Source organism: Homo sapiens, chromosome 5 (assembly GCF_000001405.40).
Source record: "Homo sapiens chromosome 5, GRCh38.p14 Primary Assembly".
NCBI lineage: Eukaryota > Metazoa > Chordata > Mammalia > Primates > Hominidae > Homo > Homo sapiens.
The window spans coordinates 67,123,065-67,150,223 of NC_000005.10; the positions used below are offsets into that span (position 1 = coordinate 67,123,065).

The 27,159-nt window shown below is 39.3% G+C and overlaps 1 protein-coding gene across 28 annotated transcripts in view, besides 2 other annotated features; it reads left to right on the forward strand.

The window, feature by feature from the left end:
* The window catches only part of MAST4 (microtubule associated serine/threonine kinase family member 4), a 573,201-nt gene that overhangs the window by 526,672 nt on the left and 19,370 nt on the right, over nt 1–27,159 (forward strand). For 18 of the 28 annotated variants that reach the window (XM_024446044.2, XM_047417157.1, NM_001393524.1 and 15 more), the window contains 10 exons: nt 7,146–7,354; nt 8,749–8,887; nt 10,450–10,582; nt 11,459–11,624; nt 13,499–13,600; nt 19,051–19,173; nt 19,357–19,469; nt 21,605–21,732; nt 22,080–22,315; nt 26,325–26,525. In XM_024446044.2, the coding sequence (XP_024301812.1) occupies nt 7,146–7,354; nt 8,749–8,887; nt 10,450–10,582; nt 11,459–11,624; nt 13,499–13,600; nt 19,051–19,173; nt 19,357–19,469; nt 21,605–21,732; nt 22,080–22,315; nt 26,325–26,525 (1,550 nt within the window). The remainder of the gene's footprint in view (nt 1–7,145; nt 7,355–8,748; nt 8,888–10,449; nt 10,583–11,458; nt 11,625–13,498; nt 13,601–19,050; nt 19,174–19,356; nt 19,470–21,604; nt 21,733–22,079; nt 22,316–26,324; nt 26,526–27,159) is intronic. The other 10 variants (XM_047417158.1, NM_001393525.1, XM_047417160.1 and 7 more) reach the window with 1 other exon arrangement.
* Nucleotides 21,157–21,451: an enhancer, noted in NCBI's record as "tiled region #2367; HepG2 Activating DNase matched - State 5:Enh". NCBI's record gives its function as "activates a minimal TATA promoter and a strong SV40 promoter by Sharpr-MPRA in HepG2 cells {active_cell/tissue: HepG2}" and the evidence as "EXISTENCE:reporter gene assay evidence [ECO:0000049][PMID:27701403]".
* Nucleotides 21,157–21,451: a silencer, noted in NCBI's record as "tiled region #2367; K562 Repressive non-DNase unmatched - State 16:ElonW". NCBI's record gives its function as "represses a minimal TATA promoter and a strong SV40 promoter by Sharpr-MPRA in K562 cells {active_cell/tissue: K562}" and the evidence as "EXISTENCE:reporter gene assay evidence [ECO:0000049][PMID:27701403]".

Genomic DNA, 27,159 nt, shown 5'->3' on the forward strand with positions numbered 1-27,159 from the left:
GTCAGTGAGGCTGACTGCCGGCTTATGGGAACTGGCTGAACAAATGTATCCCGCCACGGGTGGCTGAACTGGCCCTTCTAGAAGCTTTCTTAGGTATCCATGTACAGGGTCTACCACTCACATCAGTGGCTCAGAGAGACACCAATTCCATGACTCCTCAAAAACTGGTGGAGCTGGGAACTAACCCTGTCATTAGGAAGGGCTTCTATCTGTAGTGCTAAAACACACATGGCTTTCTCAGCATCATACTTGGTGAAAATTCATGTTATAAAGCCAATTTGGTAAACATCTGATTCCTTCTCTGTTTAACACACTTCTGATCCCTGACTGGAAGTTAAACGTGTCTTTTTGCCAACTTAGTGCTTTATAGAAAGCTGGTGCTATGTGCCTGGCACTGTGCTGGTTTCTTTATATATATTCTCTTCTCACAAGAGCCCTTGTATGGTAGTTGATATTATTTCCACTCACATGTAGGGAAGGAGAGGCCCAGAGACAGAGTCACGGATACCCTGATTCTAAGTGGAGCTCTCTTCTCTCTATAAGGTATCCATTTGTTAAAATGTTTAGCCATCCTAATTGGAGTTGTAGAGGTCCTACCTCTTCCAGTGAACACTTCCACCAGGATCTTTAAGTCATAACTTCAAATGTTTTCAAAGTAAAAGAATAAAATTGACTTAAAATTTTTAAAAGTAAAAAACTAATTTTGAAAGGCGCACCATTTCTCCCCCACTTTGCCTTTCCTTCTAATCTTGATGCACATGATTCTCTTTTACCTGTGAAGGGGCCCAGGACATGTGCCAAAGAGGCGCATGTGTGCAAGTGGCATACGCCCTGTCTCCCACATGCTATCCCTGTAGTCTTTCTCTCAACTTTCCTCTGGCACACACACACCCTCCTTCCCACATGGAGATTTGCTAGCACGGAGTCACGTATTGGGCTCTCAGAATCTTGCATAATTTTATACACGCTAGACATTCATGCTCGCTATAGGGCTGATTCATTCTGCTCTAGATCCTGTCAGCTTCTAGTTCCACTTCTCCCCACCCTCCCACACCTCAGTTCTGCATGGTTGGGGAGAAGCTTGGCTCAGAGAGAATTAGGGTCTTTGGTTACGTCTTCCCTGCCCCTCCACCTTCTACCCTTGGGTTTTCCTGTTTCACAGGGAGGTCAGTGTAGGAAGAGAGGCAGAAGCAGCCTCTTCAAAGAAAGCACAACCTCTGGGACCAAAAAGCAGAGAAGAAATGTGGAGCCATATCAGTTCAGTACAACTTCTAACACTGGGAGGTTTACAGTCCACTTAACAGTGTTACATGTCTGGCTGTCGGTGGCTGTCAGAGCTCTTCTTGTTTCTCTCTGTCTCTCTCTCTCTCTGTGCTAACTTTAAGCACATTTGGAACATCAACTTAAAAGAGAAAAGGTGTATGTGAGAGACAACAATTATTACTAAATAAACAAATTTCAACATGACGAGTAATATGCCCAAAGCAATACAGAAATGTAAAAACCCAAGAACAGAAAACAACAACAAAAAAAATCCACCCACAACTACTTCTAATTAGGAAGCCTGTTTGACCTTTGTGACTTGATCAAGATATGCATGTCCTGAGGCAGCGATATCTCAAGCTACTTATAGGATTCTTTTAAATTGGTTTAGGTCGGTTTTCCCAAGGATTAACTGATTATTGTAAGTACATCATAGCAAGGGAAAGCAGAAAGTCAAACAAAGTTTTATGAACTGAAAATCTGAGAATAAAGACTAAAGCCGTTTTTTATATAGTGCCACAGAGAGACCCAGTGAGGATGCTGGTCATATTGGGCCGGAGGCATCTTTGTCTTTTATTCTTTCATAAAATCATGGGTAAGTCCATTCTTCTTCCTTCACTTCCTATTCTCAAACATATTGCAGAGCAGTTATTTATGTAAGAAATGGTGATTCTTGATTGAAAATCAGAATGGCCACCTTGTGATCATCTGTGAAATTCATAATATACGTCCAAGGCTCCTCAGCACTAAACTTACTAAAAAACAACTATTGAAGGAAGAGATGGTAAGCAGTATGCCAATTTACTCTCTATAATAGGCAAGCTATAAAAGAAAGATACTGGTTTCTCCCTGTCAGTATTTTAAATTCTAACTTTCATTTTAAAATATATATTTCCTGTTTGAAAACACCCTTTTTTGGTTCTTTTTTTTTTTTGTTATTATACTTTTAAGTTCTGGGGTACATGTGCAGAACATGCAGGTTTGTTACATAGGTATACACATGCCACGGTGGTTTGCTGCACCCATCAACCTGTCATCTACATTAGGTATTTCTCCTAATGCTATCCCTCCCCTAGCCCCCAACTCCCCGACAGGCCCCAGTGTGTGATGTTCCCCTCCCTGTGTCCATGTGTTCTCATTGTTCAACTTCTACTTACGAGTGAGAACATGTGGTATTTGGTTTTCTGTTCCTGTGTTAGTTTGCTGAGAATGATGGTTTCCAGCTTCATCCATGTCCCTGTAAAGGACGTGAACTCATTCCTTTATATGGCTACATAGTATTCCATGGTGTATACATGCCACATTTTCCTTATCCAGTCTATCATTGATGGGCATTTGGGTTGGTTCCAAGTCTTTGCTATTGTGAACAGTGCCACAATAAATATACGTGTGCATGTGTCTTAATAGTAGAATGATTTATATTCCTTTGAGTATATACCCAGTAAGGGGATTGCTGGGTCAAATGGTGTTTCTAGTTCTAGATCCTTGAGGAATCGCCACACTGTCTTTCACAATGGTTGAACTAATTTACACTCCCACCAACAGTGTAAAAACATTCCTGTTTTTCCACATCCTCTCCAGCATCTGTTGTTTCCTGACTTTTTAAGGATCACCATTCTAACTGGCGAGAGATGGTATCTCATTGTGCTTTTGATTTGCATGTCCAGTGATGATGAGCTTTTTTTCATATGTTTGTTGGCTGCATAAATGTCTTCTTTTGAGAAGTGTCTGTTCATATCCTTCTCCCACTTTTTGACGGAGTTGTTTGTTTTTTTCTTGTAAATTTGTTTAAGTTCTCTGTAGAGTCTGGATATTAGCCCTTTATCAGATGGATAGGTTGCAAAAATTTTCTCCCATTCTGTAGGTTGCGTGTTCACTCTCATGATAGTTTCTTTTGCTGTGCAGAAGCTCTTTAGTTTAATTAGATCCCATTTGTCTATTTTGGCTTTTGTTGCCATTGCTTTTGGTGTTTTAGTCATGAAGTCTTTGCCCATGCCTATGTCCTGAATGGTATTACCTAGGTTTTCCTCTAGGGTTTTTATGGTTTTAGGTCTTACATTTAAGTCTTTAATCCATCTTGAGTTAATTTTTGTATAAGGTTTAAGAAAGGGATCCAGTTTCAACTTTCTGCATATGGCTAGCCAGTTTTCCCAATACCATTTTAAATAGGGAATCCTTTCCCCCATTGCTTGTTTTTGTCAAGTTTGTCAAAGATCAGATGGTTGTAGATATATGGCATTATTTCTGAGCCCTCCGTTCTGTTCTATTGGTCTGTATATCTGTTTTGGTACCAGTACCATGCTGTTTTTCTTATGGTAGCCTTGTAGTATAGTTTGAAGTCAGGTAGCGTGATGCCTCCAGCTTTGTTCTTTTGGCTTAGGATTGTCTTGGCTATGCAGGCTCTTTTTTGGTTCCCTATGAAATTTAAAGAAGCTTTTTCCAATTCTATGAAAAAAGTCAGTGGCAGCTTGATGGGGATAACATTGAATCTATAAATTGCTTTGGGCAGTATGGCCATTTTCACGATATTGATTTTTCTATCCATGAGCATGGAATGTTTTTCCATTTGTTTGTGTCCTCTCTTACTTCCTTGAGCAGTGGTTTGTAGTTCTCCTTGAAGAGTTCCTTTACATCCCTTGTAAGTTGTATTCCTAGGTATTTTATTCTCTTTGTAGCAGTTGTGAATGGGAGTTCACTCATGATTTGGCTCTCTGTTTGTCTATTACTGGTGTATAGGATTTTTGCACATTGGTTTTATGTCCTGAGACTTTGCTGAAGTTGCTTATCAGCTTAAGGAGATTTTGGGCTGAGACGATGGGATTTTCTAAATATACAGTCATGTCATCTGCAAACAGAGGCAATTTGACTTCCTCTTTTCCTAATTGAATACAATTTATTTCTTTCTCTTACCTGATTGCCCTGGCCAGAACTTCCAATGCTATGCTGAATAGGAGTGGTGAGAGTGGACATCCTTGTGTGGTGCTGGTTTTCGAAGGGAGTGCTGCCAGTTTTTGCCCATTCAGTATGTTATTGGCTGTGGGTTTGTCATAAATAGCTCTTATTATTTTGAGATACGGTCCATCAATACCTAGTTTATTGAGAGTTTTTAGCATGAAGGGCTGCTGAATTTTGTTGAAGGCCTTTTCTGCATCTATTGAGATAATCATGTGGTTTTTGTGGTTGGTTCTGTTTTGGTGATGGATTACGTTTATTGATTTGCATATGTTGAACTAGCCTTGCATCCCGGGGATGAAGCTGACTTGATCGCGGTGGATAAAATGACAACATTTGTATATCAGTGCTTATCTTCTATTTGAGGGATGGCCAAGTTATTTTCTGTGCTCCTTTATATATCTGTCCTGCTACCATCATCTGATTAGGAGCAACTCAAGTTGTCTGTGGATTCTTGATAGTATCTCATCAGTAGCTGAAAAAAAGAAAAACATACTAAAAGCCTTTAATCTGATACAAAAAGAACTAGTAGTTGGTTGTTTAATTTAAAAGTTGGTCAAAGTAGGAAATAATTTAAAAAGATATGTATTTTAAACATTTCAATTTAACCTAAATATACATAAATTTCCTAGTCTTTTGTTGGAAGTCCTTTTCAAGAAAGCCAGTGTAAACCAGACTTACAATATATTGTTTCTGTTTTCCAATTTTAGCGTCTTTAATGGTGAAACAAGAACTTGAAGCAATATGAATGTAGGAATCTAGATTTTTGTTATTTTTTTCAACTTTTGCAAATCTTGTCACCCACATTAAATCAACAGGAATTTAATTTAGTAACTGACATTTATTAAGACTTTCTAAAACATTCGTTTAGTTTTCTGATAAGCAATAATGCTTTCCCTTTTTATACTCATGTTCCTGTTTAAATATTTGTTTAAATTAGTTAATCTTAATATCAAATCTGGCCAGCAAAACAGGTGTGGGAATCACTCAAAATGGTGGGAGCCCAAGGCTTTGGTCATCCTGAAGAGTACCACCAGTCGGCGTGGAAAGTGCTGGGCACCCAGCTGGCTGGCTTACAGTGGGAATAACAGCACTAGATCATTCGGTGCATTGATTATAGGAGGTATGGTTAAGAGAGTTTTTTACTGTACAGTGAAGGAAGAACTAGAAAACCAAAGAAATGAGAAGAAAAATATGAGCAAAGCAAAAATAATAATAATGTTTAGACCGAGACAAAAATATAGATGTGTGATTTGCCGAATAAAGGAAAAAGATGGGCATGATGAAAAGACAGAGATAAAAACACACATTCATGAAAGAAAAAGTGATTCCAAGCTGAACACTTAAGGTAAAAATGTTAACATTGATTAAACTGGGATTGAATATAGTTGAAATTTATTTCAGTGAATCACCCTGATATGTTGATTGAGCAGGAGCATAGGGTGTTCTGGGCCCCCTTGCAGTCATTGTTCAGGGATGGCTAAGTAACTAGTGGAAAATCCATTTCAGATCACATACCCCCTGTTTTATAAGGTGGGCACTGGACATACTTTACTGTGATTGATGGCTGTTCAGGTAAATGATTTCTTGTTTGATCATTGGAGATTTCAAACCTGTTCCCCCATGATATTGACAGGTGAGGAAGACTTGTGAGAAAGGAGCCCATCCAAGACATGTTCCTTGTTGCTCATCATTTCCAGATGAGCTGTTAAGACTCCTTCTGATTCTCTTCTTTACTTTATCCCAAGCCTCATTGGGTCCCTTGTCTTTACCTAGACATAATTGGCTCTATAAAGTATTTGGGTGAGGCTTTAGGCAGAGATTGAGTGTAGCCTGGTCTGGTTGTAAAGTTCCCTGACACCTTGACCGTGGGTCTGAGAGAACAGAAATACAGCTCCATCGTTGGCCCGCTCTTATGCTGGGACATGCATTTCCTGTTGAAACGGCCATGGGGTAGCACATGCTGAGGACTGCAGTGAGGAAATATGCTACCCTTTGTTGCAGGACAGCCCCGTATAATGTGTTAAACACATACTTCTCATTTATCTGGAAATTTCTTTGGAAGTAAATGTCTCTGAATTGGAAGCCAGATACTCTAAGAAGCTATGGGGTTTTTTGTGGATCCCAATGGTATCATTTAGAAAATTATTGCTTTAGGGTCCAGGCATGGTGGCTCACGCCTGTAATCCTAGCACTTTGGGAGGCCAAGGAGGGCAGATCACTTGAGGTCAGGAGTTCGAGACCAGCCTGGCCAACATGGTGAAACTCTGTCTCTACCAAAAAACAAGCAAAAAATTAGCTGGGCATGGTGGCGTGCACCTGTAATCCCATCTACCCAGGAGGCTGAGGCACAAGAATCATATGAAACCAGGAGTCAGAGGTTGCAGTGAGCTGAGATCATGCCACTGCACTCTAGCCTGGGCGACAGAGCAAGACTCCATCTCAAAAAAAAAAAAGAAAAAGGAAAAAAAAGAAAATTATTGCTTTAGTTGGTTGAGAAAAAGTGTCTAATATCTACTATCTAACGCTAGAAAGGATCTAGCTTGTTATATGTGTGTAACTTTGTTAATTCTTTCCTGTTCTGACATATATCGAATTTTGATGTGTTTGTGGAAAAACTGAAAATGTCAGCTAGCTATTAGGAAATAGGTCACTTTGGGGACTGCTCATTTCCTTCCTTCAGCAGTGAAGATGAATCTGATGCCTGGATATGACCCTTGACCTTTAACTGAAATAATTTGAAAAAAAATCAATCTAGCCAAAGGAGTTTAGCCTGGGATGGGATGTTTGTAGCTGCCAGCTTGTGTGAGCTACATTCCACCTGCTGTGAGAACTTTTAAAAAGTTGATGATTTATATGGTTTACTGTATCCCCAAAACATCCTTACTTTCTCTCCTCCTGTCAACCCCAATACTTCTGCTCCTTTTCAGGGCAGTCTACTTTGTTCGGCATAAAGAATCCCGGCAGAGGTTTGCCATGAAGAAGATTAATAAACAGAACCTCATCCTTCGAAACCAGATCCAGCAGGCCTTTGTGGAGCGGGATATCCTGACTTTTGCAGAAAACCCCTTTGTTGTCAGCATGTATTGCTCCTTTGAAACAAGGCGCCACTTGTGCATGGTCATGGAATATGTGGAAGGTATCTGACACGGAAAACATGACACCTGTACCCAGGAATCCCTTGCTCATTTGTGTTGTTGAAGCTGTCTGTATTTGTGCCACATAATGGCTGTATCCACCTAGGAACTGAAGCCAGGCAATGAAATGGCTGTATTCCCAGTCATTATCTTCTGATAATTGCTTGTAAAGTGCCTGCTCTACTATAACAAAGAGAAAATTAGCGCTATCTGGAAAAAGGTTATCTTTTTTAATAGTTTTTAATCCTAACTACCTCCTCTCAATTGGTCATTAAAGTTGGAATATAGGTGATGGGATTTTTTTCTGCTTATTTTTATTACATATCATAAAAGTACTCATCACAATTAGTCTTCTTACAGAAAGAAATATATATTCTTTTCAGTCTATAGTATGAAATAAAATGGAAAAGGAGATACATTCAAGAAAATGCAGCCAGTCTTCCCGATTTTTAGCTTTTTTTTCTTTCTTTAAGAGGTTTATGGACTACCTTTTCAATGCTCCAAGTAATCTTATTTCCATCAATTTTATATTAAGTTTCTGAGTTCGAGTGACCATGACTTGTTGACATAAAGTTAATAAGATGAATAGATCAGTAACAATTTCAAAGCATCTAATTTAAGCTGTTGTCATTGAACAGAATCCCAAAACTATAAAACTCAAAGAAACATTAGATATCCTTTTAGTTTAACCTTTGCATTTCATAGATGAGCGAAATAAAGTCCAAGAAAGGAAGACTTACTAGATAGAGTGGTAGATAAAAGACAAAAACGTAGCTTGCCTTATTTTCACCCAGTGTCCTTTCTACCACACCAATATTTTGCTTTTTTAACCTTTGTTGTGGTTATCTTAACAAAAACAATTACTAACATTTATCACACATTTAATATGTGATATGTGTTGGGCAGTATCCTAAGTTCTTTATATAGATTATCTCATTTAATTCTCGTAAGAATTCTAACAAAGATGGTATTATTACCATCCTCGTATTACAGGTGAAGGAACCAAGAGTCGTTTGCCTAGGATGTCTCAGCTGGTAAGAGGCAGAGCTAGGATTTGGACTCAGGTAGCCTGATTCTAGAATCCATGTTTTATGCTGGTGTATTTTAAATTGTTACCATGATCCTAAAATTATGCTAGCCGTTCTTTAAAGTACAGTTTCACTTCAGAGCCAAACCTCCTCTCTTATGAATACTACTTCTTAAATAAAAATCTGTATTTTCTCCATACTGTTTCTTAGTTAGAAACATGATAGGTTAACACATAGACTCCAGTTGTGACTATGATATGCTGTGTCTATGGGTAGAGATGATTTCACCTTGAAATTCTGCAGTCTAAACTGATTTTCTACATTAAGCCTTCATCCTATAGCTACTAACTCTTTTTCCTGTGTTACAGGGGGAGACTGTGCTACTTTAATGAAAAACATGGGTCCTCTCCCTGTTGATATGGCCAGAATGTACTTTGCTGAGACGGTCTTGGCCTTGGAATATTTACATAATTATGGAATTGTACACAGGGATTTGAAACCAGACAAGTATGTACACAAATGAAATATATGTCTTCTTTTGCCCAATACAAAGTTCTCGTATGTTTATAAAGATGTTTTCTTTTAGTCAATGTACATTTTTAAATTATTCCATAATGTCCAAAATGAGTTGTTTTAACAGTATATATGGTAATTTGTATGTAAAACTTTAAAAGATATGCTTATTGGAAGTTCAGGAAACTCATGGAAAAAAGGATACAATGCATATGTATATATATATTTTATTATACTTTAAGTTCTGGGATACATGTGCAGAACGTGCAGGTTTGTTACATAGGTATACACATGCCATGGTGGTGTATGCTGCACCCATCAATCCGTCATCTACATTAGGTATTTATCCTAATGTTATCCCTTCCCTAGTTCCCCACCCCCAATGATGCTTATATTAATAACTTATCAGCAACAAGAGAAAAAGATAATGATAAAGCCAGAGTTAATTTTTTTAAGTTTTTTTTTCAAATGGTGCAAATGTGACAATAGCTTCATAGAATGCTGCTAGTTGTTTTCTGGGTAGTTTCTTTATTTGGTGTCATACTTAGATTACCTTTTCCTACTCCAAGATGAAGTGCTTGATGTTACATTCTATGTTACTCACAGTTTAATTTTTTAGTAATTTTTAATTTATGTGGAATTGATTTTGGTGTCTGATTTGAGATACAGATAGACTTTTTTCCCCAGATGACTAGCTATTCATCTTGACATCATTTATTAAATATTTCATGCTTTCTCCACTAATTTGAGAAGCCTCTAAAAGCATTACATATTAATATATAAAGACTTTAAGTATGCTGAAAAGTTTATGATAAAATTGACTCATGCTCATTCTACAAAATTTGAAAAATGCAGGGGAAAAAAGAGAGAAAAAAATTCATCTGCAGTATTACCAAAGACAACTATTAAAATTTTGGGATATTTCCATCCAGTAGCTTTTTAAAAAATACCTCTATTCTTTTAATTTTTAAATTACTGTAATACCGTATATACTATTTAAACTTTTTATTTTCCCACTTAAAATGAAAAGTTTTAAATATATTTAATTGCAGATTCTTTGCATGGGTAAGAAATATAGGTTTTGTGCTTAATGAGTAGAAATTTAAATTAGAGATGGGAGTTGAAATCTGAAACAATACAATATTTTTCTGTTTTTCTTTATTTTATGCCTCATTTGAATCACAAATGGGTTGCTTAGTTCCTGGTGTATGCCCTTTTTTTTTTATTTTCTTATTGTGAAAATGGAAAGGGATCAGAGTTTCATACTTGAATTTTTCTAAGAGTTTCAAAGTGTTATAAATGATATTGTATGTGGCTGCTCCAACAAAGATTAGCTACACCTTGTCTCTAGCCCTCCCTTGTGAATTACACTCAGCTGCTAGATGGAAGTATTTGACATCTTTATGTGACTCCATCTCTTTCCAGGCTGGGTTTTGTAATAAGCTTGATGCCCATATATTAAATAGTCTTAGAAACTGAGGGGGGAAGGGAGGAAATGAAAATAGATAACCAGCTTATAAAGTGATTATTGTGTTACATGTCCGTCTGCCTCATAGCTTGTTGGTTACCTCCATGGGGCACATAAAGCTGACAGATTTTGGATTATCTAAGGTGGGACTAATGAGCATGACTACCAACCTTTACGAGGGTCATATTGAGAAGGATGCTAGAGAGTTCCTGGATAAACAGGTAAGCTTGGGTGCCATTTAGTTTATTGAGAAATACAAAGTATGGTATTGCCAGTGAAGTTCAGAATCAACTTGTGTGGGCCATCTTCACATTAGTGCTGGTGGTTTAGATGTCTGTATAAACCTTACATTTAATAAAGTGCAAATTGCTCCCATTTTTCTCCCTGGGCCTCTTTGAATTGTCTGCTCCCTCTACATTCCTCCCCCAACATTATGGTCTATTAGCAAGACGAATGATCTAATTGCACACAAGTGAGAGTGTGAGAGAGACAAATGGAATACTGTTTTTGTAAGGAATTCAGGAGTCTCAGTAGAGTACTTGTGAAACTCATGATGCATTGTACCATCACGGGTGCTAAATCCAAGCCACGGCCCATTTCCCTTTAAGCATGCCTCATTACCATGTCCCCACAATCTGTTCATTGTAAAGTTACTTAAGGTAAACACATCTCAACTGTCATTGCTTTTATGAAATGACCTGTGTGTGAATATATTTTGGTCATATAGATACTAAAACTCTCTCTGACAATGACAAACTTAAAAATGCATTATTATTTTAAATTTAAGGATTATAAGTGGTTTTAATATTGTATAATAGGTAAAACTACCAAACAGGGTCAGATTCTCAATTTGAAAGTAAACATTACATATAATTTAACATTAGAGCAGAACTGTAAACTTCCCGTCTTTGGTAATAATTCTTTTCGTTGGTATTTTAAATATCTTTTTATAATTGGTGCTCTTAAGTTCTTTGTCCATGTGGTTCCATGTGGTTGAGCAGGTGCATTCTGGGCAAAATAATTGGTGACTAGCCATCTTGCTCATTTTAATTCATGTCTAATATTCCAATTATTCTAATATTGCAATTATCTTTTAGGTCTGTGGCACACCTGAATACATTGCACCAGAAGTGATTCTGAGGCAGGGTTATGGAAAGCCGGTGGACTGGTGGGCCATGGGGATTATCCTCTATGAATTTCTGGTTGGATGCGTGCCATTCTTTGGGGATACTCCAGAGGAGCTATTTGGACAAGTCATCAGTGGTAAATATCATCAGGAGTTATCTTTAGGTCACTGTTGGGAAGCAGCTATTTAATGTAAATCTGTTGAGTGTCACAGTTTTTACTACTAAAATGTTAACCTTTATCAAACAGTTGAGCCAACAAAAGAACTCACTCATCAAAGCATATAACTGACATTCTTAATCTCAAGAGAGCAATTTTTGTTGAAAATTGATCTGAAGAAATGTTGTTAACATAGAATTTGGAAATGTACTAGCAACAAAACCATTTTTTATAGTGTGCTTTTTCTGCAAAGGAAATTGGTGTGGGATTTACAGGCAATTTAATTGCCGTCCAGTCTTCCTTTCCATGATAGGAAAGTTACACCAGGGAAGAAAAGGTTAATGTGGGTAACATTTACATAAATAGGGAAAATGGCTAATGGCATAATGAAGAAGTTAACAAAAATGTAATAAACCCTAAAACAAATGTCTACCAAATAATAAATAATGAGAATGGGAAAGAAGCAAGTTGAATCCACAGATTGTTAATGATTTCATTGGTAGTTGTTATGGCGTAATGTTATTTCTGTAACAGCTGTTCATCTTTCATTTAAAATTCAATAACTTTTAGATCTTAACCTGCAAGCTGACCCTAACTATTGTATGTGGCCTGTGGCAAAACTAAATGATAATTAAATAGGGTGTATCACTACCCTACCTGCCGATTTTATAAATTTCCCTGGAACATACATCAGAAAGGCCTCTCATCTTGAAAGTTTGTCAGGCATCACTGACATCTTTATCAGCCACGTACGGTCTATTTGGACTGTGTTTACAAGGTCCAGCAGTGGAAGTAGGGGAAAAATTCATTTTGCATATGAGGGGCCCCTTTATCACGGCATTCTTTTCTATCTTTGATTTTGCAAGCCTTGCATATTTGTAAACTTTAACAAAGCAGATTTGTGAGTTGCCTGCAGTGTATGACCCCTTTATACAATATCTGAGCTGTTTATGGATTTATAACTAGGCTGTTTTCTGATATACTAAGGCCTGAATGGCAAAGGGAATCAACTGTTTAATTAACACAAGCAGCAAATGCTGGCTTTGTTCTTGATGCCTTACGGCTCAGATGCATATTCATGTTTTATTTTCCAAATCAGATTTAAACTGCAGCAGAGGAAGCTAGAGGCAGGCACACACAGAAATAACTCATGTTTTTATTGCATTTCCGTACACACAAGCACGCACACCTATCTTCAGGCAAACTCCTTCAGAATGAGAAAGTATTCTTAATATTTATGACAGATTTTAAATACTTCCATTACTATGATTACTTTGGGTTTTTTTTTCTTCTTCAGTCTTAGCACTTTGACCTGTTTGTTTGTTTGTTTGTTTGTTTGTTTCTGGAAATAGTTATTTTTACAAAATTACTTCTTGCTTCTTAGAGCTGAAGAACTCTATGGCTGTGGCCAAATTCTCAGTTGAGGAAATTAAGAGAGAAAAATCTGAACCTGAGATAATCCCTGGATGGATATATTAGCCACCTGAAATGGAAGTGTTTAGAGTTTCTATTATTTTAAGTCTTTTAATAACTAGAGAGGCAACTTTTTGGAAGCCAATTCTTTGAAAGAAAAATACATTTAAAAAGCAAATTAAAGATCTGCTTATTGAAATATTCTCTTCCTACCTTGTAAAAAATCTATGCTACTTATGTCTTGTAAAATAATGCTTCTCAAACATGACTGTGTTTAGGAATCGACTGAAGATCTTGTTGAAAGGCAGACTCTGATTTAGTAGGTCCGGAGTGGGCCTGAAATTCTGCCTTTCTGACAAATTCCCAGGTGATGTCCATGTTGCTGGGACCTGGACCCTCTTGTGAACAATATGGTTATAAACAACTTTTCTTCCTTCTAGATGAGATCAACTGGCCTGAGAAGGATGAGGCACCCCCACCTGATGCCCAGGATCTGATTACCTTACTCCTCAGGCAGAATCCCCTGGAGAGGCTGGGAACAGGTTAGAGCCCATGTGTTTTAATTTTGCTAATATGCAAGAAATAATGTCTACATGGAGCACTCTGAAGCTTTTGTTGTTGTTTTGCTTTTTGCATAGGCAACATCTGTTAGTTGATGTAGAACATGACTGCAACACATTATAGCAATAATATTTTGGATTTTGTTTTCTGATTCAAAACAGTGTGTACGCTAAGAGGGTTGGTTGTTTGTCTTTGTTTTTTGTTGTTTTTGTGTTTGGCAAAGCAGAAATTATGCTTAATTTGTTTCAATAAATAAAGCTTCTCTGGAAGAAAACCTCAAAGGCACATGTAACTCTTCTATCCCGAAAAGCATGCATCTTAAATAACTTGAAACAGAGGATTCGATATTTGGAACTCTTTTTGTTTTTGTCTTTAAATATACATCCCCATACGGATTTGACCCAGCACGTTACTATACACAAGCTTTGAAATGGGTTATCAGTACTTGGACTAATTACTAGAAATGAGTGTCTGGGGTTGAACCATGCTGTCCTGTCACAGTGATCAGCACCGTGACCCAAGAAAGAGAATTAAAAACCACTGTCTTTCAGGATTAACGAGATAGTAGATTTGTTTCTTGCTGATTATTTTTTCTGACTGTTCTGCCAGTATTTTATTCCCTTTTCTTCTCTGTATTCTGAATAGACAGACTTAGCAATCCCAGTATAGAGTCCCAGTCTGCCCAAGTATGTGAATTTATGTAGATGAGACTAAATATTAAATATAAATGCATATAGTCTAGCCAGCAGCCATAATTTTCATCAGTGAAAAGTGCTGGCTTGATGGGTTGTTTACTCTGGGCTGTTTCATTCTACCCCCATTTTAATAGAAATAACAGAAAATACTGAAGAAATCATTTTCTCCCCCATTTTTTTCCAAGACAAAAATTTGAAACAGTTCCAAATATTTATTGTATAGTATTCTCCACATTCACCCACCGATTCTCCTGTTGGAGGACCTGTTCTTACCTAAGTATAGACGAATGCTGTGCTACTAGAGTTTATGATAATGCATTACAGCAAGGGTCAGCAAGCTATGGCCAGATTTGTCCCACAGCCTGGTATGGTAAATAAAGCGTTACTGAAACACCTCCATGTCCACTCATTTAGGTATTGTATGGCTGCTTTCATGCTACAAGGGCAGAGTTAGGTAGTCATGACAGACCGCATGCCCTGCAAAGACTGAAATGTTTACTGTTTTGCCCTTTACACAAAAGCTTTCCAGACCCTGCATTAGAGAATCCAAGAAGGCTTAATATTAGGGCTTGACTAGACAACTTCTTTTAGTTGAGCCTCTCACTAGAGCACCTTGTGTCTTTTTTACCTTTTTCAGTGGTTGAGTGGACTTTTAACCTGAAAAGCCAATATAAATTGAGGTTGAGAGCATAAACTCCACAGTCAGCTAGGCTGAGTTTAAATCTCGGCTGTATGACCCTGGACAGGTTACTTCTTTTTGCATTGCTCATCTCCTCATTTGTGAAAAGGAGCTTTCCGAAGTGCTACCTCATAGGATTATTATAAGGATAAAAACAAATCATTCTAGGGAAGAGGAGGCATTCTGCTGGATGGCTTTTTAAAACATTTCCTCCAGAGTCATCTGCCTCATTAACAAGTTTTATCTTAGAATTATTTTCTAAGTTCATAAACTGACATGATTTTTTATTCTGTTATGAATGCGTACTGCCCTAGTCCTTCAATAAGCCCATAATATGTGTTTTTTGTTTGGTTTTTGGTTGGTGGGTGGGTGGGGTGGTTTGTTTGTTTGTTTAGAGATGGCATCTCACTCTGTCACCCAGGCTGGAGTGCAGTGGTGCGATCTTGGTCCATTGCAACCTCCGCCTCCCAGGTTCAAGCGATTCTCATGCCTCAGCCTCCCGAGTAGCTGGGGCCACAAGAGCATGCCACCACGCCTGGCTACTTTTTGTATTTTTAGTAGAGATGGGATTTTGCCATGTTGGCCAGGCTGGTCTTGAACTCCTGGCCTCAAGTGATCCACCCACCTCGGCCTCCCAAAGTGCTGGGATTACAGACATGAGCCATTGTGCCTGGCCCCATCATATATGTTTTAATCCCTGTTACCTGAGGTCAGGTGTGGAATTTTCCACTTGTGGTGTCATATCAGTGCTCAAAAAATTTCAGATTTTGGAGCATTTCGGATTTTAAATGTTCAGACTAAGGATGTTCAGCCTGTATTCTGTCCTGTATTTACTCCTCCAGGAAAACTTGGATCCTTGGTTGGGCTTGATTTAACTAGACAAGGATGTGATAATGATCAGCATCTCTGTGTTTATAAATCATAGGCTGCAAGTTACTTCTCTGCACATTTTCTTGTTGATTGCTACTTTCAGTCTTTTTAGGGTTTGACAGTTTGAAGAACAAATCCCCTAACAGAAATCCAGAAGAGACATTTAAAAGACCCTACCCAAGCTCTTAGAATTGTCAAGTGCTTGCCAAACAGGCCAGTCCAACATGACAGGTCCCAGTAGGGCCCAGAGACTGAGGCTGAGAATCCCGCAGGCCTGCCGTGCTGCTTCCAATGACAGCGTTTTGTATTTAATGCATATTTAGTGGGCAAAATAATGCACCGTGAAAATGTGCGAATGCACATTTGCCCAAGAGATTAGAGAGGCTGAGAAAAAGGGTGTGAAGAACATAATGGATGTTTAAGAAACTTCCATGAAAGGAGAGAAAAGGGAAAGTGTTAGTGTCAAAGCATAACTTGCAATTTGGGAGCTTGTGCTACTGGAACTACACTTTTGAACTTGTAGAATATTGAGTGGCAGCCTGACTCCCTGGACTTCAGAGCTGCTCAGATGTCACTGCTACCCATATCTTGAATAGTTTCTTCATTGTCCTGAGTCTCAGTTTCCTAGTCTATGGAAATGGGCATTTTATATACTTCACAGGATTATTGTGAGGAGTAAATGCAAAAATGTTCATTAAGGTATCTAGTTCATTTACTAAGTATCTAACAGGAGCTCAAGGTATAATGTTTCTTTTACCTTCATAATGAATTCTTACAATGAGAACTATCATTTGCATGAGTGATTTATTTTTAGCTCACGATGCTATCACCCGTATTTTACCAAAAGTTTAGTCCAGAGGTCATTTTCCCCCAATTTGTCCCTTTCTTTTCTTCCTTATCTCTCCATAAGTGCCTGAGAAACTGGACCCACTGATACCAGCTTCTCGTAAGTGAGGCACAAAGGCCAAAGGGTGAGAAATGTGAGCTAAATCAGCTATGGGCTGTAAATCCTTGAGGAGGACCCATTTGTCATTGTCTGCAGAGATGAAATGAAGGCTCTCAGCAGCTTGGGTCCCAGAGGATAGCAGGCAGGGGGTAAAACCCCTGACACTGGCTGCAGTCTGGTTGAGCTCTTGGCCCTAGAGAAACTGCTTTTCTGATAAAATCGAGCAACCCAAAATGTGAGGGCTGGGCCATTGATGTGGCCCCATGAGCAGCAGCTGAAGTGATAGTCATTGTAGTCTAGTGGAACCATCACTGCACTAGGAGTCCAGAGATGTGTGTTGTGGGCCACTAACTAGGGCTTTCCCTACCCAACACCCGCACCGTGCTGACGACCTCCATGTTGGATAGGGAAACAGTTAAGCCCTCTTAGCTTTCGTATTCTGTTTCTCCAAGTAAAAGAGCACTAGAAGAAAATAAGATGGGCAGTTGTGCATACGGACATTGATTAGGGATAGGTGAGAGCAAGGATGCATGGTGGGCTGGAGTGAGGCTCTCCAGAGGTGCTATAGAACAGCCACGTGAGTTGGCTCTTAGGCTCAGGTCCCCAGTATTGGCAGTTCTGAATCTGTTTGCAAAGCGATGCAAGAGAGGTGGTGGAGTAGGAACAAATTAAAGCATGCCTCTGCCTTATATGTGGCACTGAGGTTGGGCTTGGGTGTTTTTAGGCAGGCCTAGGTTCAGCCTTGAATCTTTACCCTCTGGGGGATCGTGGTCCACGGTGCTTTATTGCTTATGCTTCATTTCCACATCCACAAAAGGTGTTGTAATGCCCACTTCATGTGGTTATATTTGATGATTTAATTAAAGGAAACAAGACATCTGTCCTGTAGTATCTAGTGCAATACTTGTCACAAGTTGGCCCTCAGTCATAGCTGCTCATGCTTACAGTCAGACTTCAGTATTTTGCTAGAAATGTGGAAACCACTTGGATAGAATATGGGGTAAAGATTCTAATTAAGTGTTTTATAAAGAAGAATCCATTTCCCCCCTTTTTGGGTAGTTTCCTCACTTTGCTGTTTTCACTCCATTCCATCATTTTCAGAACACCAATTTGCCCTGGCTGGGTTTAGAGCTAGGGCTGACACTATGTCTTGTGCTAGAGGGGTCCAATGAGGACAGAGTCCAATCTTTGATCCACAGACAGCAACCCCCAACCAAGATTCACAGCCCATTTTGCATTCAGCTTGGCATTTCTCATCCTATTCTTTTTGGACTCCACAGAGGACAGGATGAGAGGCCTGGGTGACAACTACAAGAAAGAGGCATTTACTTGCACCTAGCAGAGATCTTTTGGCAGGGAGGCTGATTAGTCCCTGTAGTAGCTTCTCAGAAATCTCTCTTCTTAGAGTTTTTTCAGGATTGATTCTTTGTTATCTCTCTCTTCAACAATATGTGTGCTGGTGGCAGGGCGGGGATCTGATTCTTACGCTATGATATTATAACATGTACCTTTTTCTCTTTATATGGGGTATGGTGTTCATATTTTTGATGACCTGTCCTTTAAAATCGCTCTTTAAAATTATAAACTGAATTGAAAACATTTCACTGAATTATGCTTTCATGCTGACTTGGAAAAAGAAGCCTGAAACTTGGAAATGGTGATGGATATTTTGGAGACATTAAAAGTCTATAAAACAGATTTGTCAGTTTCCTACTTACAAATCTGTAATCCACAGAATCTAATTCTTATCTATGTTAATGAGCAATCCACTAAAATTGAATGGTAACCCCTATAAATAATATTTAGGAAAAATTTATCAATATTCACTTTACCTCCAGAGGAAATGTTGCTGTGAACACATTTTGCACCTTGTTAGAATTTCTCTGGGTTTTTAATGAGTGAGTCTGCTGTGGGCCAATATTTATCTACATCTCCAGGTTCAGCATACTGTGATTTTAAGTGGCCACATCATTAACCTTTGAAAAATGGAGGAAGTCATGGAAAAAAACTAACAAAGAAAAACAGTGCCATAGCAACTGCTGTTAGCAACATCAAATCTCCTACTGATAAATTATCAGAAAAACTTGTGGGGCTTTGGTTGTAGAATGAAAAAGTATGATTTTCATGTCTGTATTTCTTTGCTGATATGTTCTCAAAATTGTTGTTAAAAACTGATGTTTGCCTTTGCTTAGTGGGGATAGTTTAACACTTTCCTCTCTGTCTCTACCTGCCCCCTTCCAGGTGGTGCATATGAAGTCAAACAGCATCGATTCTTCCGTTCTTTAGACTGGAACAGTTTGCTGAGACAGAAGGCAGAATTTATTCCCCAACTGGAATCTGAGGATGACACAAGTTATTTTGATAGTATGTGCTTTATCTGACATAAAACATTGTTTGGCCTTTACTCGATAAATAATTATCTTTGCTTTTGAACCTTTTCATATCTCTGAGTTCTTAAACATAATGTTGATCCAGAAAATCATAATTAAAATATCTAAATGTTGAAAATCTGAGTAATTGGACCTGTTCCCAAACATTTCACTGCAGCTCGGTCTGAGAAGTATCATCATATGGAAACGGAGGAAGAAGATGACACAAATGATGAAGACTTTAATGTGGAAATAAGGCAGTTTTCTTCATGTTCACACAGGTTTTCAAAAGTAAGTGAAATGTGGCATAAACATACAGAGTCTCTCTGGGAGGATCTCCCGCTGGCCAGATAGTATCCCCGAACAGCTGGACACTTACCGTTTTCCAGGGTTTGAGGTCTCCTATGCTTAAACTTCCTTTTGTTGAAGAAAAGTGACCTCCTCAACTTATAGTCTGTCCCTATCCCCTAGGCCTTTAGACTGCCATTTTACCTTCTCTCTTTCCTGTGAGACAACAGAGATTCAGATAGCTGAGACCTTGGGCTTACCTGAGCTCTGATCCCCTTCAGGAACCCCGGCACCAATATATTTCTCTCTCCACAAATTAAGATATTGTTTTCTTAGAGGCATAGCCTTGCACCCACAGTCTTGTTTTTGGAGTGTGTGACTGCTACTTATATGATGACCTTGCCTTGAACGTCTCTCACCTGGCTCAATGCCAGGCTGCAGAGGTATCACTCATTGCTTTCAACTCAGGATGAAGAGCGCGAGCTTCACTGTGTACAGAGTCATCTCCGAGGGATTACACAGAGTACAACAAAAGGAGAAGGCTCAGTCCTTGACATAAGCAAAGATACCTGCGGACAGTTGACTGTAGGATTGTAAAGTCTCATAACTGCCAGGCATAGTGGCTCACGCCTCTAATCTCAGCACTTAGAGAGGCAGAGGCAAGAAGATAGCGTAAGCCCAGCAGTTCAAGACCAGCCCGGGCAATATAGTGAGACCCCGTTCTCCACAAAAAGGAAAAAAAAAGCCAAAAAAAAAAAAAAGTCTTGTAACCAATAAACAGAAATTATAAGCCATATTGAAAAGGCAGTAGGAAGCCAAGCTAGAATCATTTAGATAATTGATGCTTGAGAAAGATGCCTTTTTACCAGTACAGTAAAAGTTAAAAAAAACAATTAATCAAAACAAAGAAAACTGATAGTACTGAGACAGAACAAGGCCCTAGGAAAAACGGAAATCAACCTGAGGGCACCCTACCTCCCTTTTGCTATTTTCAGTAGCTATATATTTTCTGTTGCCATGGCATTTTGCATGATTATTGTTTAGCTTTTCTATAACATTTAGTGATTTTAAAGTGCTCCGTAGCTTTTTCTAAATGATTACCTAGATGCACCTGCAAATTGGCCAGCACTACCCTCCTGTGTATGGGAATGGCATCGAGGTAAGGATTTCCCTGGAGAAGGTGGTAGCCAGTCTGTCCTAGAGCCAGGACAGAAGCTTTGCTAAGTGTGGACTCAGACCAGGACTGTTCTCTGGGCCATCAAAGACAACAATGCCAACCCCTAAACACTGCTTCCTTCTTTGCCTTGGTGGGTATTTCATTTTCCCACCATCTCCTTTTCTGTAGCCACTTTCCTGCTATTCCTAGTAGATTATAGGAGGCCTGAGGACCATTCCCATGAGAGCAGCAAGTGTCTGAGCAGGGCAGTAGGGAGCGCTTCCTGCCCTAGGCTCTTAGACCCCCATTTTACCTTCTCTCTTATGAGACAACAGAGATTCACAGATAGCTGAGACCTTGGGCTTACCTGAGCTCCGATCCCCTTCAGGAACCCCGGCACCAACATAGGAAACTGCCTGTCTATAGATGTGATTTGTAAGCGAAACAAATACCTCTGGCTCTTATAACGGAATATGTACTGCATCCTTGCCACACCACCACCCAGTCTTGAAACAGATAATTTATTCTTCTGTTTGCACTCAATTCCAATTCATTTTTCTTCTTCCCACCCCTGACTGGTGGCCATTAAATCTGTTTCTCTGTTATTTTCTTTTTCCAGTTGACTTCATGGTTAAAAAGTAATCAAGATGTGCATTGATCCCAAGGCCTAGAAACTCCACTGCATCTGTGGATTTTGTTTGCAGATACAAAGTCCGCAACAAGATATGATGAGAGGATGATGAATTCATAGCTCCCTATTCGTATATATGTACACACACACACACACACACACACACACACTCACTCACCCTGACCCTTCCTCTCTGGATTCTGGTTAACAACACTGGAAAGTACTTTCTGAATACACAATATTAGTTCAGAATTTAGTTATCCTCTCAGGTTTTTCTCCCAAGACTTGGAGTGTTTTTCTGACAAACTCTTTTTAGTAGATATTAATAAGCACCAATTATTTGCCTTCCAGGTTTTCAGCAGTATAGATCGAATCACTCAGAATTCAGCAGAAGAGAAGGAAGACTCTGTGGACAAAACCAAAAGCACCACCTTGCCATCCACAGAAACACTGAGCTGGAGTTCAGAATATTCTGAAATGTATGTGAAATGCCTCTTAAGTAATATAAGCAGTAGCTACTAGAGCAGAGTTTCTTAAACTTTAGTGAGCATCAGAATACCTGGGGGGCTTGTTAAAACACAGATCTCCCACTTCCAGAGTTTCTCATCCAGTAGATCTAGGGTAGGGCCTGAAAATGTGCATTTCTGACAAGTATCTAGATTATGCAGATGTTGCTGCTGTGGGTACCACACATTAAGAACCATTGCACTAGACATCTCTTGGTTAGGCTTATCCAAGTCCGATTTTCACCTGGTTTCTTCCAAAATTCACCTTTAACACAGTTTTCTAGTATGTATATATGACTTTGTTTTTGCTTTTAATTAAGGCAACAGCTATCAACATCCAACTCTTCAGATACTGAAAGCAACAGACATAAACTCAGTTCTGGCCTACTTCCCAAACTGGCTATTTCAACAGAGGGAGAGCAAGATGAAGCTGCCTCCTGCCCTGGAGACCCCCATGAGGAGCCAGGAAAGCCAGCCCTTCCTCCTGAAGAGTGTGCCCAGGAGGAGCCTGAGGTCACCACCCCAGCCAGCACCATCAGCAGCTCCACCCTGTCAGGTAAGCCCCGGGCCATAGTGCCTGCTGTCCTCCTCACCACACTAAGTGTCTCCTAGTGCTCAGTCCCAGGGCGGGCCTCGCCAGGCAGTAAAGATGGGTGTTTTATGCTGCTAGACTTTCTCCATGGCCTCAGTCCTTAGGCTTGGGACACGATCTTCTGAGAGCTAAGATCAGATGTCTCAGACCCCTCCTCAGTGCTCGGCCATGCAGCAAACTGTTATTGCTTCCGTTTGACCTTGGGGCCAAACTTCACTTTCTCAGCCAGGTTGCAGGGGATCTTTTGAGGGAAGTCAGAACGTGCTAAGGGAGCGTGTTCTCAGTTGTTGATGCAAAGGTATGTCTTATACAGTTGCATCTAACTCAAAAGTTCAGTGTAAGAGCCAGTATCAAGTAGTCAGCTTGTCAGAATTACCCTTGAAGATGTCTTGAATCACCCTAAGGCACAGTATAAAGCCAGGTTTCTCTCTAGCATTGAAATGGATGGTTGTTTCTTTGATGGAGTTGGCTTTTGTTAAAGGGTTATGTTGTACCAAGTAATTTCTCTCTCCACACTAGACTCAGTGCAGACTGAGTGCAACAAGACGCTTAATGCTGTTCTGGTCCATCTGGGACTAAGGAGGGGAAAGGGGAGTCAGAAATACCAGCATGATTTAAATTGATAGTTTACGTGCATATGAAATAACTCCACTGAAGACAAAAGTTACCTTCCCCATCTCTGGGTAATTGGAGTAAGAAACTCTGGGTAATTGGAGTAGGAAACTCCTGAGACATCTTTGCATTTTTGGGAGGCAGCCAAGGGGGCTTGGGCCTTTGAAAGCACTTTTTAAAAGTTACCTTTGTGTGATGTAACCTTCCTGACAAGAGGAACAGTGTCTTCACAGATTTTTAAGGAGCTTAATATATCATGGATACTTGCTGGTCATTAGTAATGGAGGTATCCTCACTAGATATTCAAACTTGCAATTAATTGCACCAAAACAAGCCTCTTAAGTTCATTTAAAATATCATTTGATTTATAAAAATTTTATGCACAGCATATTCTTCTATAGAGTATGTGCATTTATGCTTTTTCAAAAAATGAGAGATGTATATGGCTTAGAATTGCTGTAATGAATGTTTTCATTAAGCTACGTTCAATATGCTGTATTGATAACCATGAATGATTCCAAGATTTTTCGTCAACATTTTTTAAACTAACTGAATATTCATAGTGTAAGCTTTTTTTTAATCATTTCAGGAAAAATTTTATGGGCTGGATTTATTTCAACCTCACTAAGAAGTTTGGATCTGTGAAGCTTCACATGTGCTTATAGTTTATTGTGGGGGAAAATAATGTTGGATTTTCTTCTCTGTCTTCACTTCAGTTCTGTTTTCATGTTGCGTAATTCCACTTATCCTAATCATAAAGCCAAGAGAACAGCAATGAGGAAGTAGTGTAAAGGCAACCTATTAGACTAAGATGCCTGACCATCTCTAGTTCATGCTGATGCTCAGATCATATGTAGATATCTTGGTATTTTCTATTCCTGGTTACAAAGGCCTTTATCTGGTTCTTAGTTACCTTACTCTGAATAGAGTATATTCACCTCCATTTAAAATTTTTTTCTTAATATAGTGAACTGTTTACTATCTCTTAGTCTCCTCAGCCTGCTCACTACCGGAAAGGTAGGAGGGGAAGGGAGGGGAATCGTGTCTAAGCATTTGATTGATTACTTTCATAATTAAAAAAAAAATTCACCTAGGTCCTGCCATGCATTTTGATTAATAGATTCACACCATCTTTCTCTCTCTCTCTCTCTCCCCCATACGCACACTAAAAATAATCAAAGGCCTTGGGGGCTGTGCAGAATAGAGAGATGAGCTGATTTGCTTATAGCCAAGGGTAATTAGGAAGTCTGAAAACCGTGACTGTAGTAAAATTAAATTTGTTGATTTTTATATTGCTCCACCACCAAAAAGAAGGAACCCTTGACATTTAGAGAACATTAAAGTGACATTATCTACCATTGGCAGAAAAGAAGCTCACGCTTATATGCAGTGCTGCAAAATAAGATGGCAGAGGCAAGAGGGAGAGGTGACACAAGGTTGTATATCCACACTCTGGCATTTAGGGAAGTACAACTTTATACATGTTTCTCTTTTATCATGACTACATTGTGTTTGAAGCCATGAAAAATAAACGTCTTGAAGTCTTAGATGTAGGGGTCAAACGTATCCAACAATTACTCATTGTAAAGAGATTCAGCTTTTCATTTTATACTTGTCAGTGATCCCATCCAAACCAAATTACAAAGAAGGAAGTGTGTACCTTACTCAATGGGAAGCTTAAGTTTTGTGAGATGAGATTTATTACTTGTGAAGCAGTTTTTATCAAGACCTTCAGTAGCTGATTTCTGTAAGAGAATGGAATATTCTGTTAAATGAGAATGAGTTTAGCATATAGGAGTAAAAACATTGATATTTGCCTTAAGGTTATCTCCCTTTGTTGGTCAGATGGGTGTTATGTGGAAGTCCATGAATCTTTTCCTGTACATATGCACAGTAGATGACCACAAAGTGTGCTATGACTAAAGCTGCTGTCCAAGTTCCCAGCTACCCTTAGCCTAGACCACAGCTGTAAGATCTGAACTTTGTCCATGAGCGTGGGCCAAACTACAACCATACCACTGAGTGGTATATAGACAGCAGTGTAAGAGAAATGCTAGTTGAGTCTAAGTCTAACTCTTTCCCAGGCAAACAGTGTCATATGGTCAGCACTTCGAAATGTGCTGGCCGCTCTTTCAAAGGATCATTTATAGTGGTGTTAATACTCTGCATGGATTGTATCTCTAAAGGTGATGAGACAGTTGATGATTTTTAAGCACATGGGGCTTATAATGTAGCATGTAGAAGTAAAATGAGATGAGCATTTTCTCTCCTGGATGGACAAAAATGTGCTATCAATGATGTTTTTAAAGAAAAACACGATAGAAAACCGATAACCTGGGAAAGAAAAAGTAGGACAAATCAAAAGGAATAGCTGTTCAGCTTCCTTCTGGGGGACTCAAAATGTCACCCTGCTGCAGAGCTTTCTTTACTCTCGGCCTCTGCATTCACCAGACCAGGGTCAGTGATGTTCCATTTCTGCACCCCCCTCCATATTTATCCTCTCTTACGCTCCGTTGTTGAGGGAAGCCCTAATTTTTTTTAAGTTAAAAATAACTCCAGTTTATATTAAAGATTAACAAAATTAAAAGTAAAGAAGGTGTGGTTTAGAGGGGAGAGGAAATAGCATGAGGGAGGATCAGCATATGATACACTGGATTAAAAGCCAGCAGGATGAAGTGAACTTGAGTAATGGAGGGAGTAATATCCTTTGTCTTGCTTGTCCTTTGAAATGTACAGGGAGCTTAGAATGAAAGGAGGCATATGGCCTGAGAAGTGAGAAGAGACACTTTAGGCACTTTTCTATCAGTTACTTGCCTCAGCCTAGTATGAGGTGTGTTCTAACAGCACAGACGTAAGTCTACAGGGAGTGATGAAAAAATGTCCACAGGTCAAAATTATAATTAACAGCATTGATAATGATAATCATCAGTATCATAAGGTAATCACAGTATGAAGTGGGCGGCCATGGTGTTTGGGAGGTAATATTTGATTCATGGCACAGCCTTTCATGGTATGGGGGGGGTAGGGGCACCAGAATTATCTCTGCAAGGTTTCAAAAATATAGATTGTTGAAAGAAACTAATTCCTCTGGTTACATGGAGTCATGGATTGAGAATTAGCAGACTTGTGTACAGGTAGAATGAAGCCTGAATAGATGCCTCTTCCATCTCTTCCTCCTCCACGTCACCTTTCTCAAAGCAATCACATGTTGTTAATGTTCGCCTGACACCGTCTGGACTTACTGGCCACATAGGAGTATGTTCTCTGGCGTTTACTCTTCCTGCTGTCTCTCTCTTCCCGTCTTCCCACCTCTCCTATCCTGGATTTTCCTGAATGTGTTTATCCCTTCTTCTTTGTACAGTTGGCAGTTTTTCAGAGCACTTGGATCAGATAAATGGACGAAGCGAGTGTGTGGACAGTACAGATAATTCCTCAAAGCCATCCAGTGAACCCGCTTCTCACATGGCTCGGCAGCGATTAGAAAGCACAGAAAAAAAGAAAATCTCGGGGAAAGTCACAAAGTCCCTCTCTGCCAGTGCTCTTTCCCTCATGATCCCAGGAGGTAGAGAGATACTACTTGCATGAAATTGTGTGATTTGTGCATGTGGTCCCATCCCTCCTCTCCCAATTTGGAATGCTGAATGAGATGCAAGATTGCTTGAAGTAATAACGGGTCATGTCCCAGGACAGCTCTTGAGAGCTTCTGCCTGCAGACTCTGAATTCTTCCTGCAGGATTTGTAGGGCCGCCAAGGAGCATTTTGGCCTATTTCATCTCACTTTCTGCATCAGGGGTACAAGAGAGGCTTCCTTCCCATGAAAGCTTGTTTCTGTTTTGTTTCCTTTCGTTTTCTTTTCTCCCTCCAAGTTAAATGATAAATTTTCCTTCCTTGAATAATTTTTTTTCTCTAGAGTATGTATAATTTATACACTTTATAGAGCTGTTTACAACATTTGTGTTGGAAAGCTAAGTATATAGTTTTTCTCATCTAATTAATGAGGAAAATAGTTAAGCTTTTCATTTCTGGAGATAGAGTCACAGACAGCATTGAAATTCTAGGTTTTCCCAACCCTGTCAGTTGAGCTATGCTTCCTCCTACTGGTAGCAAATCATCTTCTGCCCTGTTTTGGAAAACTGGGCTTAATTAAGGTTTTGTTGAATTGTAGTATTTTCCCACAAACTGGTTTTGCCACTACT